At 40.5% G+C, this 16,912-nt stretch overlaps 1 protein-coding gene across 1 annotated transcript in view; it reads right to left on the bottom strand.

Moving 5' to 3' along the window:
- The window catches only part of XRCC5 (X-ray repair cross complementing 5), a 96,946-nt gene continuing 88,127 nt past the window's right edge, over positions 8,094-16,912 (bottom strand). Inside the window, exons 20-21 of the mRNA NM_021141.4 lie at positions 9,991-10,065; positions 8,094-9,199 (exon numbers count right to left, since the gene is read on the bottom strand). Coding sequence (NP_066964.1) covers positions 9,185-9,199; positions 9,991-10,065 — 90 coding nt within the window. The 3' untranslated portion in view covers positions 8,094-9,184. The remainder of the gene's footprint in view (positions 9,200-9,990; positions 10,066-16,912) is intronic.

The raw sequence follows: 16,912 nt of genomic DNA, 5'->3' as shown, positions 1-16,912 counted from the left end.
AGGTTCAAAAGAGAATAATTTCATATATGAAAGTATCTTGCAGGGTAAATTTCTGTCCTAAAGTAAAATGACTGGTTATTAAGGAAAGGGGAAATTTAGTACAAATCAGAAAGTACAAGCATGTTATAGATGGTCTAAGTTGTGATAAGGTTTGTGAGAGAATACTTATGAAAAGCATTTTGTGTGGGATTAAGTTGGCTATAATTAAAATTATTTATAAAAGTCTTTCTAAATTTTGGTCCCTTGTTTTAAAAGAAAGTTGTCTTAAAATATGATTTACTCTTAATACAATTAAAAGAGGTTTTGATTTTTAATTCTAAACCTGTTTCTTGTTGAAAACTTCTCAGATTAGTATCTTGGAAGTTCCACTTTTGCTGCGTCTTGCTACTTTGTTTTTCTCCCCCTTTGAGAAGGCCTGAGATGATAACTTTTCCCTTCAACTGTTTTGCCAGCTCCTGTAACTTTTTCCCTCTGGTTCTAACTGCCACTGTGGCCTGATGCTAAAATGTTTTATCTTGAAGGTCTCGAAGAGCAATGTTTTCCTACAGTATACCTTGATTCTGTACTCTTGGCTTTTCCTGATATCCGAATTGTTCCATATAACCAGAAAACTTCCCATGCTGTTATTAAGAGTCATGTATTCCCCGGCTCAAGGTACAGTTTTCTAGTTTCCTGTTTCCTCCATAACATAAAGTTCATTCATGACCCCAGACACACTCTTCTTGTGTCTGATTAATTCAAGTAAACTTTTTACAGTTTGATTTCCAAGTTATCTAAATGGGCTTCTCATAGGAGAAGCAACCACACTGTAGGTTTTTCTTTGCCTTTTTGGTAACTGGCCTAAGAACCAAAGATTTTACATTTTATCAAGATAATTCCCATGTTTTCTTTATTAGATTTTTTATTACTTAGGAAAACTAAGCTTTAAAAGGGTTAAGGTTTTTACATCCATGTGACTTTCCATATTGCATTTAAAGTCTTTTGATTATTACTCTTGGTTTAATGAATAACTATTACAATGACCTGTAATTCCATTTTGATTAAAAGCTTTGAGCCTTTGAACATCTTTGACAAATGTCCTCAAAATCAAATAAACATTGCTAATTCTTCATGTTTTGCTTTTCAGAGTCAATAAAACCTTTTTTCTTTTAAACTATTTACAGCTTACAGAAATTGGGTAAAACATTGAAGATTACCTTTCTCTCTACCTAGTATCTCTAGAATTTGAAAACTATTCAATCCCCCTAGGCCAATCTGCTTTCCATTGCCAAGGCACTACTGCTAAAGCAATACAGTATCAAGCACCCTCCCAGTAGGCCCATGGACTATCACAGAAGGGGTGGGCACATGAGATTGTAAGGGCCAGTTTCAACAGATAAAATTAGTTCAGACCCTCCAAATTAAAGATGGGCATACAGATTACCAAACAGCTCATGGCTCAACACACAGAACTCATAGACAAGTCACTTTTGTAACACTGCTTTTTGGTTATGTTGCTCAAAAGGTTTTTAAGGGTTAATGCGTGCCTGTGAACCTCCATCTTCATCTGGCCTCCAATGTTTAATTAGTTTTAAGTCTTTTGGTTCCAAGTCCCTTGGCCACAGGGATCCCACCAAAGAACAAAATGAGCCTGGGGCAGGTAACGACACCACCCTGGCAGTGACATGAGACAAAATAAATGTTTGGTCATCAGTGTTGCCTCTGGCACATCTTGGCTAAAAGGGGAGAATGTAAACTAAAAATAAAATCCTAAGACTCCTCCCCTACAGATTGAATGGACCCCCTCTTGGCCAAGGGGACCCCAGAAAATTCTTAAAAACGGAGTTCCCAGCCATGACAGGACAGCAGGTTAGACACGACTTGTTATACTCCCCTCCCTTTTCTGGTTTACAGACAATTGACCCGCATTAAAGTTAAAATAGAGATCCTAAGATTGACAGAACAGATTCTTTGTGGCAGCAACATAACAAATTACCATGCCAGGCAAGGGTTAAGTTATGCACCCCTACGCTTAAAGAATAAACTAGGTTCTAACTGCAACAAGGATTCTCTTTCTCTCTAGCAGCTAAACAAGCAGTGGCCTCACCATAAACACTAATAAAACACTTGCAGCCCTACCAGATGCTGACTAACTGAACTCTACCAGCCATAACTATAGCTTTGACTGGACAAGAGAGTGATTTCAGTAACTTTCTCCTGTTAAGAAGCCCACCGACCATGGACTGGTTCTAGTGGGTTTACAGAGATTGCGTACTTGAGTGCCTTCCTGTCCTGAAAAACCTTTTGATGTACTGGGCCTGATTGTAATATTTAAATGTCGAGTCTTCTCTGTGAGATGAACATGGGTCATATGTAACATACTTGTTTAATATGCATTCATCAGGACCACCTTTATGAACATTCACAGCTCTTCCTGTAACCTACTGAATATGCATATTTAGATAACTTTTTCAGCATAAAGCTCCAAGCCAACCCCTCCTCCTTTGAAGTGCCTGTCTCTGGGCTTCTGCTAGAGGAGGCTGTGCTTCCCAGCTTGCAAGATAACCTGACAGGCTATAACTCTTAAGAAGTAATAGTTTCCTCTCTCCTTTTCCAAACTTACAGATTTGTGATTTTAAAAAGTTAACATGACTTACTCCATTGGGAGTGTTACTTAAATGAACTGATTTTAAATCTCAAACATACCAATTACCATACATATGGTAAAACTGAAGTCTGTGAGGGTAAAGCAATTTCTCTGAGTTTCCACAGTAAGTGAAGGCTCTTCAAAGTGCCATGCTGTTCATCAACTTCGGATGCTCTGCAAGTGGAGATCTCTCCCTCAGGCAGTGGCAGGAAGAGACTCTGCCCATCTCACTTCTGCCCACTTGATACAATGCTTTGGGATTATTTCTCCCCTCTTTCCACAGAAGAACATCAGGAGTGGATTGTTATGTTTCTATATTACTTTGCATGGGTCTCATTCCTCAGCTTTTTCTGGTACAAGGTAGACTCTAATCTTGAGGTGAGCACATTCTATTCTATTCATCTCCTCTAGGACACAAGCCACAGGAATTCAGTGTTGACAAAGATAGTTCTTGGTGTTGCTAAAGCTGCAGAAATGACAGGAAGGACTCAGGAGAGATTCTGCTTTTTTTTTTTTCCCCCAGCTCCTATCAGACATTCCCAGGTGGGGCTGGGGTATTATACCATCTGGCTTCAGAAATGCTCTAAGACTCCCTTTTACCCCTACCATCTGCCAACTTCTGTCAACACAAACTGCTAAGAAAGGGAACCTATTTTTCAGCCTAGTATTCTTACTATGGCAGAGATAGAGAAAAGTCATGCACATATTACATAAGATTGTCAAGATCTGCCAGGGATTCACCCTCTGCCTCTGAGCAAGACTGTTTCTAACACGAATAGGAAGACTACCAGAGAAGGGAGAGAGAAATCTGTTTCCTGTTTTCAAAATCTCCAGAGGAGATCCCTCAGCCAAGGAGAAGAGTCTTAACCCTAGTAACACACACAGCATCCTTGAAACAAACAACAAAAGCGATGTGGCCACAAGGATATGTGTGTAATTCTTTGATGGTGTGTTTGATCTCGCCCCAGTTTGGCCTCACTTAAACTCAAATCCAACAGCTTGGAATGCAATTTTAAAATTCTGAGCAATGACAAATGTCTCACACATGCTACCTTTTGTGCTTTCCTGGCCAAGCTGTTATCTGCAGTTATTTTCAAGAACAGAGTTCATTTTTGTTCTTATTTCTGAATGGGGAATTATATAAGGCTTGATTTTGGCCACAGTGGAGGCATGGAAGTTCAACCTAAGGAGGAGCAGAGTTTGCTATCGCCTACATTTGATTGATTTCAGGTTTAAACAGCAAGGCATGAAGATAATCCAGAGATGACCAGACTCTCTCTGGACAGCCTGTTTTCACCCTTGCCCTCCTTGAAACAGGTCACATTCACAGCACTTACATGCATCCCCTAAAAATACCAACTCCAAGCACATTAGTGAAATGGATGTTGCACTGAATACTCAGTGGGGAGATGAAAATTCACTCAACCCCACAGGATAACTTAAGACTAGGATGCCTATGGACACTTGTGCTTCCCCAAGCCCCTAAAGCTGCCCTCCCCTGCAGCTGTCCATCGCTGTTGTCTTTACCCACCTCCATCTCTAAAACTCTCCCCTTATTTAAAGATAATCTTTATCAACACCAAAGCCAGTAACCAGCCAGAACACCTCCCCTACCACCAAGTTTCCCCAGGGTGCCATCTTCCTTCTGCTTTCCTCTCCTATCTCAGTGCCACTGCAATCCCTGAAGTAGTTCATCAACGTATTTATCCAACAAACTAGATCTGTTCCTAAGGGGAATTCTGCTGCAAAATAAATTTTAGTTTTCATCCTATTTTACCAAGCCATTAATATATGCTGTTAGCAGTATGTGCTCATTAATCTTAACAATAACCCTGTAAGCTGTTATAATTCCCAGCATACTGAAAAGGTAACAGGGAGGGGCGTAGAGAAATTCAGAGACTTACCCATGCTAAGACTCCCGTTCCAGGTCTGCCAGGGTCCTTACCCACACAAGCTGCAGTGCAAAGGTGGGTGGCCCTGGGCAATGTAAAATGGGAGGATGTGGATAGGGCTTGGGTCTGGAGCTGCTTTCTCAACACTCCAAGCAGTACCCGTTCGCATATTCAAGCAGCTCCTGTGAGTTCCCTTTGGCTGAGAAGTTTCTGTCCTCTCCTGGGCCACCCTGCCCACAGATAAAATGCAAGTGATTTATTTTGTTGCTTACAAAGGTTAAGGGACTTGTGAAGGCCACATAACTGTTAAATGCTATTGACACCTGGACTTAATAAACCTAATAGTATCTAACATCCAGGTGGCTATTTGAAGCATTATGCCATTATGCCTCTTGAAAGGAAGTCTAGTCCTGGGTTATGTTTAAAGGAGCATTTCTTTCCTTTCCAAAATGACTGCAGAAAGCCAACTATCTAAGCAGGGATTAGCAATTCTACTTCTGATCAGGGGAACTGACCTATATGGGGTAAAAGTGTGGGATGGGGGAAGTCCCATTTCCCCATCACCCTCCTAATATTCCCCTGCCTGCTATAGGGAGGACTTAGAAAAATGGCTGGAGACTGAGCTATATTTATTAGGGGTCATTAAAACCCCTAAAAGGTTGTTTAAACATCATATGCATTTCCACTTCCTGCTCCATGCTGTCAACCAGGCACAAGTACCAGGGCCTACTTTTTTTTTTTTTTGAGATGGAGTCTTGCTCTCTCGCCCAGGCTGGAGTGCAGTGGTGTGATATCGGCTCACCGCAACCTCTGCCTCCCAGGGTCAAGTGATTCTCCTGCCTCAGGTTCCTGAGTAGCGGGTATTACAGGCGCCCACCACCACACCCGGCTAATTTTTTGTATTTTTAGTAGAGATGGGGTTTCGCCATGTTGGCCAGGCTGTTCTGAACTCCTGACCTCTAGTGATCCGCCTGCCTCTGCCTCCCAAAGTGCTGGGATTACAGGCGTAAGCCACTGCGCCCAAGGGCCTACTCTTTCCAAGCAGGCCCAATGAGACGTTCTTCCCTGTCTCAGGCTTGGAAGCCAGATGGTGGTAAGATCTGGATGTAGGAGGCAGAGGACAAACCTAAGCCATGAGCCACAACCTAGCTGTTCCAAAGATCTCTGAAATAAGCTAATACAAAGCAGTATGTTGATTTCCATTTTGCTGTCTGCTCCTTGTGCATTTAGCTCCAGGAGGGAGTTAATAGGAGAGGGGTGAGTGGCAAGGCAGGATATGGTCATTCCTTGGGCCCTGGTTGTGATACTAACTTAATATAATCAAAACCTAGGGTGACCATATATCTATAATCCATACCAGGACAATTCTGAGAACAAAAAAGAGCACTATTAATTATGCTAAGACAACAATCCATCCTCCATAGCTGGAATGCATGGTCACCCTGTTAAAAAGTAAGAAAACCTACCCTGGGTCCTACCCTTACCTTTGATCACATGGAGACTTTAATTTTTATGTATAACTAGATGAGAAAACCTAAGTCCAATAACAATAGATCATTACAAAGAAAACAGCACTGGAATACTCAAGGTCTTAGAAGAAATAAGGTTAAAATAAAAAAACAGCAGCAGACCTATTTAAAAGTTGTTTTGTGGCTGGGCGCAGTGGCTCATGCCTGTAATCCAAGCACTTGGGGAGGCCGAGGTGGGGAGATCATTTAAGGCCAGGAGTTCGAGTCCAGCCTGGCCAACATGGAGAAACCCCGTCTCTACTAAAAACACAAAAATAAGCCAGGGGTAGCGGTGCATGCCTGTAATCCTAGGTATTCGGGAGGCTGAGGCAGGAGAATCACTTGAACCTGGTCAGTGGAAGTTGCGGTGAGCCAAGATTGAGCCACTGTACTCCAGCCTCGGTGACAGAGTGAAACTCTGTCTCAAAAAAAAAAAAAGGTTATGTTCTGCCCAGGCCCTCTATTTGAAGTTTTCATGAAACCATCTCATTTGTGGAAAGCATTTTAGTTTAGAGTACTTCTACGGGCATGCTCTAAGCCTGTGAGGCAGGTCACAGGTTTAGCACCATGACAGAAGCTGTGCAGCAAGCAGCAGAGGCAAGACTCAAGTCCAGTATCTGGGTTAGCCCAGTGTTTCCTCCCGTACCCATGCTGTGACCCCTCATGGCCTCTGCTCTGCATGGGCCACAAGCTTGTGTCCTGAACTTAGAATATCTGGGGGAAGGCAGAGGACAACATGAAATGACGCCCATGGGAGACAGGGAACCAAAAGGAACATCTGTTGCCTGAATCAAAATTAACTGCAAAGCCAGTCATTAGCACTGCACATCATCAAAACAGGAGAGATCTGTGTCCATTTATTTTCAAAGCCATCCTGGACTTGGCGGGAAAAAAAAATGCTGCCTAATCCCAACACGATTTTTCAAATAGTTTTCCAAGATTCTAAATCTTATATGTAAATTAACTGGCAAAGGATTAAAACCCAACATTTAAAATAGTGGTACTTAATGAGGGGCAGCACATACCTTCAAGGGGGCATTTGGAAATGCGTATGGTCATTTGAGTTGTGACTTGGGTGGGGGGGTCACAAAGAGGATGACTCCTCTTCAAGTCAATAAATTTCAGTGACATAGAAGAAAAAGGTGACCGGGTCCATAGTCAGTGACTTGCAATCACAGACAAGCCTATCATTTGTGGGATTACTGGGCTTCTGAGAAGCAGCCCATGGTGGATTGACGACAATACAGCACTTGCTGTCCTCCAGGGCTACACTCAGCAGAACACCTGGGAGTTCTGTAGATCTGCCAATCTCATTTCACGGAAATGGGACTGTGATGTGTTCATGCAAAACACGCTGTCCCTACTCAAAACAGTACGCTCTGATGAAGTCTACATAGCACATATACTTCACCTGTATGAAATGGATTTGGAAATTACATGACTCATTTAGTTCTTCCTCTCCTTAGCCTGTGAAACTAATTTCTTCCTTGAGGTATTGAGATTTAGGTAAAACAGGGTTAGAGAAGCACAAATAATCCTGCTGCATTCAAACTAAGTCAAAAAGTATCAGAAGATCTAAAGGACTAACTTGATTTAAACTTTTCCTGGCATGACAAAAAGACTGACGTTTCCCAAAAGAAATTCCCCAAACTGCCAAAGACAGGGGCTGCTGATGGAGCCATACTTACTGAGCTGATTCATATTGCTGGGAGGATCTGATGAGAATAATGAAGATTTCAGAGATCAAAGTTTCCACTCTCTGTGGTTCTAAGAATGTCTCAGTTTTGTCCAAGTCACAAACAACCCCTGGGCTTTAACTATCTAACCAGAAACTATATGTCATCCTCTGTTGGGGTTACTTTAAATGAGCACCTGTATGTCAAGTTTGATGCAAGTGTGTATAGTATTGAGAGGATGTCCTAGAAGCCCAAAGTAAAGCACTCCTTTCTCTCCTCAGCTAAATGAATGATGTTCTATCTTGCAGATCCATTTTCAATCAATGGATAAGGGTGTTCAATTCTCAGCAGAGCACTGAAGAAGTCTTTTGCAGACAATAATTAGCAGCAATTCACAGAGAGATGAGTCATTTATGCCTTTAATGTTACATGTACAAAACTGTGTATTAGTGACGACTTATGAGGGTGCTGAAGACAGAGGTGACTGGGTACCAAGAAGTCTGTACACCAAAGAGGAACTGGAACTCAAGGCAAGAATGAGGACAAGAAAAAAAGAGAATAAGGGCTTTGTTATTTTCTTATTTAGTAAAGGAGACACCATCCACAAAGATGAAAGCTGACTTAGGTAGAAATGGGAAAGACCGAAAAGTTACCTAAGTGTTTTAATATAACGAAACTTTCTCTCTTTGAGGCTTGCAAGTAGAGAACAGTGAAGTGATATAATTCTAACTACTGTAGTAAATTTCTCAGTTTTTGAGTTTCTAAAGGTTCACTGATATGGCAGAGATTGGGCCAAAAGGTCTTTTCTTCATGAGACCACCACCATAACTCACTGCTTAAAAGGAGTATGAAGGGAAATTGTGCTCCCCTTCCCACCCCACTTAAAGAAAACCACCTATATACAGAGGCAGAGTAATGTGGTAACTAGAAGGCCTCAACTAAAAAGAGAAGTGAGTCCGTCCTTACCCATGGTTTTCCTAACCCAGCTGCTTGTTGGGAGGAAGCAAATGCTACTGCTTGCTCAACACAAGTTGTGACAGCTGTTGGAGGATCAGGCAAAGGAGGACTCTGGAAAGGGTTAAGAAACTCATCAATAACCATGCCATGGTTCCACATGAGACACTAATCACATCACAAGGGCTGCAACTGTCACTGATATACTAGGTCAAGAAAAGATCTACTTTCCAGAAACTTCAAAGCATGTATGTAATATACAAAGATCAGTAAGACCACAGAAAAAATAATACACCAACCAGAAAATAACAATGACTCTTTATAAACTTGTATGGGGTCTAAATTATCCCTTGTAATATATATGTGTGTATTCATTCCACAGAGAATTAGATGATCCGCCTCCAGGTAACCTGCTGGGAATTTCTTGAGATTTTGGCTCCCCTTGAATGGCCGCATCCAACTTGTTTTGTTAGAACTCCCAGCATCACAGCGATGGCAGCTCTCTTAGATTCCCCATACATCCACGACCTATATCATGTCCAACTGTGAACAAGAACAACACACTTAGAAAGGAATCAGGCCAATTTCATACCACTGCTTCTCTGGTGAGAGAGGGTTTAATGAAAATGACTCTACATTGGAAGGCATGCATGTACTTGCTCATTTATTCACCGCTCATTATTTTAGGAGTTAAACATTCAAGTATCCACTCATTTTAGTAATGAGAATGTCTCTAAAAAAGATTGACATCATAGTACGTAGTGTTTGTTGGTCAGTTGTCATATGAAGCTTAAAGGCGGGAAGTTTCCAAACATTAAGGATAGATACAAAAGACATTTACTACACAGCTTCCCAGACATCAACAACATGGTGTAATGGGGTCCAGAAATCCTCAAATGCCTATCGGTCTATTTTGTTTACATTAAGTTAATTGAGAACATTTAAGAAGTAGCCCTTTTAAGGGCTGTTTCATTTGTCAACCCACACAAACTGCATGTTGTATTACTTATTTTTGGTTAACAGCAATTTCAGTGAATTACAACATTTTGCTACTAATGGAATAGCCTCCCTAGCTCTTTTTCAGCCCTTCAAGGGAGAGGATTAATCTGAATGAACAATATAGCCGACACCATGAAACACAGGAATTTCTATTATGAAATTACCTATCTGATTGAATTTATAATGGCAATATATAATGGTGTAGGAAGCTTCTGGTGTATTGGAAATTAAAACACAAATAAGCAACAAGTGTAAGATAATCAGCCTTTGTGGCTGTATTTACAGCTCAGGTGACTTCAATCATAGAACACCAGGTGCATATTAAAAGTACTTACTAAATCGTCCACATCACCACCTTCTTCAAATACAGCTGCTGTGTCTCCACTTGGTTTGTCTTTGGGGGCCAGAAACTGTAAATAGAAAGTCAGTTATCATACCAAAATGATATTTTTGCCCCTTTGAAAGAGGGAACAATCTGCTAGCATTGCCACAGCAAAACCTAAGGCAGCCTGCTTAGCAGTCTCACTGCCAACGGCCCAAAAGAAACATCATCCTGGCATACGCTACTTCATTTGGCTTTGGGTGAGAGGCCCAGTTTTGAGGTTCAAGTAGTCCATACTAACTCATCACCAGAGAAAGTGCTCACGAAGAGGGAGGAAAGAACATGGCTTGTCGAGACAGTGTGTAGTGTCCTGTATAAGCATGGTGGACATCTGCTGTTTCCAGTTCTGCTTCCATAGGAAATAAGCTGGCTTGCTAAGGTTAAGAAAATAACCAACCACCCCAAACTAGTATGCTCTTTTGAAAGGAGCATGAGAATCAAATCAAGATTAGAATAATCTCAAGTTGAATGATGAAGAATCAGGAAAAAAAAAAAAAAAAAGCTTAGAATAATCTACTCTTAAATTCCACTGTGGACAAAAGCAGTAAAAGGGGGACTTCTCATAAGAAACGTGAAATGCAAAAATGAGTGAGCTTGGAAGGTTGTTTGATTCCTTTTATGGAAATCTTTCAATTTGTGTTAGAAATTGTTTGAAAACAGGCAGATGAGAAATGGATGAGAAAACCATTCAGCATCACTGTTCTAGATCTGGAGCTTCTGAAAGGCAGATACATAGTAATACAGCAAAGTCCAGGAAGTGAAGTCTGTGAGGATCTAGGAATGACACTCAGATTTTAAAAGGGTAGTGAGGTGAGTGCCCTTGAAAATTATCTGAACACTCTTTTTCCATCCTGTCCCTCCAAGGGATAGCAGTGGGGAGCCTTTTCCTTCAAGGCATGTGGCAGCTGCCTCTAAGAGCTGGGTTCTAGCAATGCATATCTATCTAGCAATGCCTATCTATCCTAACACGAGAAGGTGATTTTCTGGTAGCATGCCTGCCTGTAGGAGTGAGTGTTTTAGAGAGGGCAGTGGAAAGTGGGGCACTTCTACTTTTCCTTTGGGGGCCAGAAACAGTAAATAGAGAATCAGTTATGGTACCACAACTGACTGGCCCCTAGAGGCATTCTGGCATTCTTCAGGCTGAGAGTGCATGGAGCAGGCACGCGGTGAGAGAGCCTTCCAGCCCACTTATGCTCTCCTGTAGTTGCTTCCACCCAAGAGGAAAAAGTATAATTATACTTTCCTCACTCTCAACATGAAAAAATGGTAAGAGCTGCCATTCTCTACATTCCTGTTACTTTTATGGTACAATGGACACAATCATGACCTCTGAAACCTAAGACCTATAAATAAACTAAAATATGTCTCTTTAAAAAGTCAAACCAAAGTCAACCATGAAATATGAGGCTGCATGTGGCAAGTTTCAGGAAGCAAGAAAGCTCTGCCTGTTCTTCTAGTCCTCATATACAAAAACACACACAGGTAACAAAGTGATAACAGTGGAGGCTGTGTCTGCCTTAAGGTGCAGTGCCTTTGTCAGCACCATGGACATAATTGTTTGTTGACTCAACCACTCTCTTGGACTTTTTTTCCCTCAGTTAAGACCACCTCACTATTCATTAACTTCTTTTATGACTGAGCGAATAAGGAATTTATCTTCTTTTAAGGACATTTATGGATCTTTCCATAGCTCTTTGTTGACCCTAAACTGGGCCATGTGCAAGACTGAGAATCAATGGTATAAGAGAGAGGAAATCCCAGCAATGGAGGCAGACAGTCTGTAACAGAATTGTGATGAAGCTTCTGTTTCATTCATTCTGTTTATTCTGGGTGATTATGAATAAAGATATCTGACAGCCAAATACAGATAAATGAATAAAAAATCTATACATTTACTAGCATATGATTTATCTGTAAAGGTTAAATAAACTACTCTATCCTAGATTCTCAAATGGGTTTTTATTTGGGGTTTTCCGGGTTATTATCATACTTTTTATGTTGTACCTCTCCTCTCCTACTCATTGTCATTAACCCCTGCATGATTTTCGTGATATCAGGACTATATGGCTACAGGATAAGACTTATCCAGTTGGGGCAAGAGAATAAACAGTAGAGCTGCATCCTGCCATAAATCTCTGTAGGGCCACAAATGACTGGTATCTTCCAAACATCTGAAAAACTCCATAGGCTTAATGGTTCTGTAGTCCACTACATCTTGTATGACCCCTTAGATAAGGACTTATTGTTGGCACAGTATGACCATGGTATATATACTTAAGCACAAATGGCACATCTCTGAGACTAGGCCAAATTCCTAGGAAGAAATGAGCAGCAACAAAAATCCTACATTTTCATTAAGTGCTAAGTATCGTCTGCAACTGATTTTCCTGACAGATCTGCTTCACATTTCTGTGTAAGCAAATTATGTTTAAAAGCTGGGCTGCCATCCATTATCCTTCCCAATGCCCCAGGCAAGGCTGATCTCTTCCACATATCACTCCTCATCATTAATGTTTGTAACTGCAAGTAATTCTAGCCCATGCAGTGACAGGGAAGCAAGATAGAGCAGAGAACTCAATGACTGGCCTGCTTTCTCAATAAAAGCAAGAGATTCTCCGAATCTCTTCTGCAGAAAGGGGTAGGAGTCAATTCTCATCTTTTCTCATGTGTTCTTTCCCTCTGCAATATGCTGAGAAAGTAGAGAACAGATAGAAAGGGCATGTGTGTGAGTGACATATTCCTTCTTCCTCAAACCACCATCACTTACCTGGGGTTACCATAAAAGTGCCTCCTTACCTGGAGAACTTTATGAAATGGATAACCTACTACTTTTCAAGTACACTGAAATATAATCCTGGCCACAAGCAGAGTAATGAAATCAATAACCTCTATATAGAAACTGCCAGTCCTATACCACCATAAGACTAAAAGACTATCATCTTGTGCTCAGACCCTTACTGACCCCCAAAGTAAAAACACATGACTTCCACTGGGTTGTTTCCAACACCATCAGGTGATTCCAAAGGATTACTGACAATCTAGATGTGTAAAAAAGCATCAAAAAGAATAAAAGTCAGTTTGCATGTACTTTGCCTAAAATGACATATATTTGGGTTTCATTAATGCCACTTGTAGCTTAATGGATGCTATAAACACTAACATGGTGCAAGAGGGAAATCCTGCAGCCTAGTGTGGAGAACACAACTATAACCCTGTCAGTTTCTCAGGAACCTTACGCAAGCCACCTGACCTTTTCATAACTAATTTCGCTCAAAAACAAAATGTGAATACTACTACTTACCATACCTATCTTAGGGGTTGTTGAGTCTCAGATAAACTAAAGTATGAAAAAATTCATTATGGTATTGTAAGTTTCATGTTCTAATTCCTAGGAATACACTTAACATATGTCCACCAAGTGGTATGTACAAGAATATCCACAGCATCTTTATTCATAACTGCCAAAGGACAAACAAGCAAATGTCCATCATTAGGAGAATGGATGAATAAATTGTGGTAAAATCATAAAAGGGATTACTACATAGCTATAATCACATAATTGATGAAAAAAAGGCATGATTCCAATTATATGAAGGTCAAAAACAGGCCAGATGACTCTCAAGTGACAGAAGTCAGAATAGTGGTTACCTCAAGGGATGGGGGCTTCTGACTAGGAAGGTACCAGGGAGGCTTATGTGGTGATGGAAATGTTCTATTATTTTGATCTGGGTGGTGAGCACCCAGGTACATGAATGTGTAAGAATTCATCAAGTTGCACAGTTAAGATCTGTGCATTTACTGTACACATGTTCTACCTCAATAAAAAATTTAATATCATATCTTAAATGTATCAAGCCTTAAATAAATATTGGGTAACACTGTGATATTTTCATTATTACTTTTCTTGTACTAGCAAACTACACCAGAGAATTAAGGCAGAAAATGAAAGCAGAAAAAAGCAAAGAAAAATGTCACAGGTTCCAACAGGGGCCAGCAGTTTGACAAAACTGCTCTCAAGAAATGATTCTTAACCTTTGTCTTCAATCCTTCACTAAGCTTTGGAGAATTCCTGTGCACTCTCACACACAGAACCAGATGTACTCTTGAAAAAGGGAGCATGAGCATCCTTTCTCTAGGTAGATGTGGTTGGCGGCATTATAAGGTGAAGGCGTGAAGAGCTGGTGCCATGGTGTGGTGATAAGGCGACTACAGCGGGCATCTGGGGGTCTGGATTCCAGTCAATTCTGCTGGCCACTAGCTTGCTGTGAGGCACAGAAAACTTTACCTCTCTAGACAGGGGTGTTGGTAAAATGGCCAACACCAATTGGTAAAATGGCCAATTGCTATCTATGAATGTCTGTGATACTAAGGTGGAAAATCCATAAATGTCAACAACAATAAAGAAGGATAAATTAGGCAGTTACAAGAAAAATAAGTGCTAAAATAATGATTTTTTTTTCACAGAGCTTACATCAAATGATTATTTAGATATAGCTCAGCCTCTTGGAATCTGGTAAAAAAAAAAAAAAAAAAAAAAAAGATCCCAATGCCATGGGGATAAATCCTCTTTCTTCACTGCTTTCTCAATACTAAAGGAGAATGAAGGACTAGGGCAGTGCTAGAACTAGATTCCTGGCCGGTGACTTACTGTGAGCTCTCAGACACATCACTTTACCTCTTCCACCCACTACAGAGCCAGGAGAACTGACAGATGAAGAGCACACAAAGGCTATACAAAGATTCTACCAAACATCAAATGCTAATGGCATATCTAATCATATAAACTAGAAACAGAAAAAGTGGAAGAACTGACAGGTTATAATGATAATAAAAATGAACATTAAAGAATGATTTATGCCTAGGTTTCAAAATGAAATGAGAGGTACCAGGAAACTTAAAAGAAAGTGACTGTCTAAACTCACGCCATGCAAAAACTTTCTATTTCTGTAGCAGAGCTGACTTCCTTCTATTTCTCAAAGAATCATACAATCCACATATTTCTAGAAAAACTGGAGGGTAATAGCTCTTAAGATGTTATACAAATGTAAAGTTATAATTTTCATTTAAAATGAACATCCCTGGATAATTATTTCCTTTCAAATGTCAACATTTAATAGCAAGAATTTGACAGCTTGCTAACTTTAAATAACTTATGGGAAACACCTCAAAAGAATTTAAATAGACTGTGAGGATTGTTCTTTAACCTCAGTGATTATAGTCAAGTTTCCTTAAATGATTATTTGGGAAGTGACCAAATTGAACATTTGAAGGCAATATAAATGAATATTTCAGTGCATGGTCAAAAGTGATAATACTTCTCTCACTTGGCTAAGAGAAATAGCTAAAGCATGTCTCTTCTATTAAAACCAAAAGAAATCAGCTTCCTTGAGCCAGAATCTTCCTCTGCAATTCTCCCCATTATCATTTACATGTACACTCTCCCTTCTACACTTCTCTCCAAAAATCAACAGATGCCATTTAAAAGCATTTTCAGGCCAGGCATGGCTGGGATTACACGCCTGCAATCCCAGCACTTTGGGAAGCCAAGGTGGGCGGACCACTTGAGGTCAGGAGTTTGAGAACAGCCTTGCCAACATGGTAAAACCCCATCTCTACTAAAAATACAAAAATTAGCTGGGTGGGGTGGTGCGCACTTGTAATCCCAGCTACTCGGGAGGCTGAGGCACAACTGCTTGAACCTGGGAGGCAGAGGTTGCAGTGAGCTGAGACCGTGCCACTACACTCCAGCTTGGGCAACAGAGGGAGACTCTGTCTCTAAATAAATAAATAAATAAATAAATAAATAAATAAATAAAAGCATTTTTCATACAAAGGATCAAGTTTTCACTCTGGAAAACAAAATAAAGGGTTCATGTGATATTAAAGCAGACACAAAAGCATAATCTCACAGTCAGGCATGATACAGTGACAGGTGGGGGTACTCACCACTATACTAATGAGAACTGACAGATATAACACAGCGTACACTGAAGGTGAGTCAAAATTACAGGGTCTACTCTATGACTTCCAGGTTATTCTAACCACCACCTGGCTCTAGGCCAGAAAGTCATTTGTTGAGATGAAGCAGACAGGGAGTACTGTATTTTAGAAATGATTGGTCCAAGATTCCATTCACAAAACTTAATCCACTTGAAAACGAAGGTCTGGTGTGGTGCAAAGGAACGTGCATTTTAATCCTCTTGCTACCTCGGTGAGCTCAAAGTGTAACCCCACTTTACCTTTCTGGGGATTGGCTTCCCAGTGGTAACAGGGATGGTAGTTCCTGCTCTTGCCAATTCTTAGCAGATCATTGTGAAGATTACAGAGATAATACTGGGCTCTTTGGTTCGGGAGTTGGATACAAGTAAAATTCTACTACTCTTATTTTCTACCATTATCTAGATATGATGTATATAGTGTTGTAGACAAACACCATACAATGTGAATGGTTCTTTAGCAGTCAAAGTGTTATCTAAATATCTGGTATACATACTACATTGGCTAAAGCACTGATAAATGTGGGGAAAAAAAGGAAATGGCATTTTCTAGATGTGAAAGAGTCTGCTAGGTGAATGTGCAATGTACTTTTTTTGGAGGCTATGAGATAATATATATCAAAGTGCCTGGCATAGAGCTGGTGGTACTCAATACATTTTATGTTGAATTTCCTAACTTCTTATCTGCCATGACAGTGAAGTTCAGTTTTGCTGGTAGTACTGGAAGCACACTCTCTGTGCCTTGACTATGGAAACACTATGCTCTAAAAGGAAGAAGATGCCAGTCAGAGCCAGGCAACCCGTGGCTGAAGTAGAAGAGATTCTCTCCACTTGTTTTTTATGATGTTCTCTCTATTCAAAGATGGTGAAGTTTTGAGA

Source organism: Homo sapiens, chromosome 2 (assembly GCF_000001405.40).
Source record: "Homo sapiens chromosome 2, GRCh38.p14 Primary Assembly".
Taxonomy (NCBI): Eukaryota; Metazoa; Chordata; class Mammalia; order Primates; family Hominidae; genus Homo; species Homo sapiens.
Note: the sequence above shows the minus strand (reverse complement) of the source record. Positions and strands in the feature narration are given on the sequence as shown.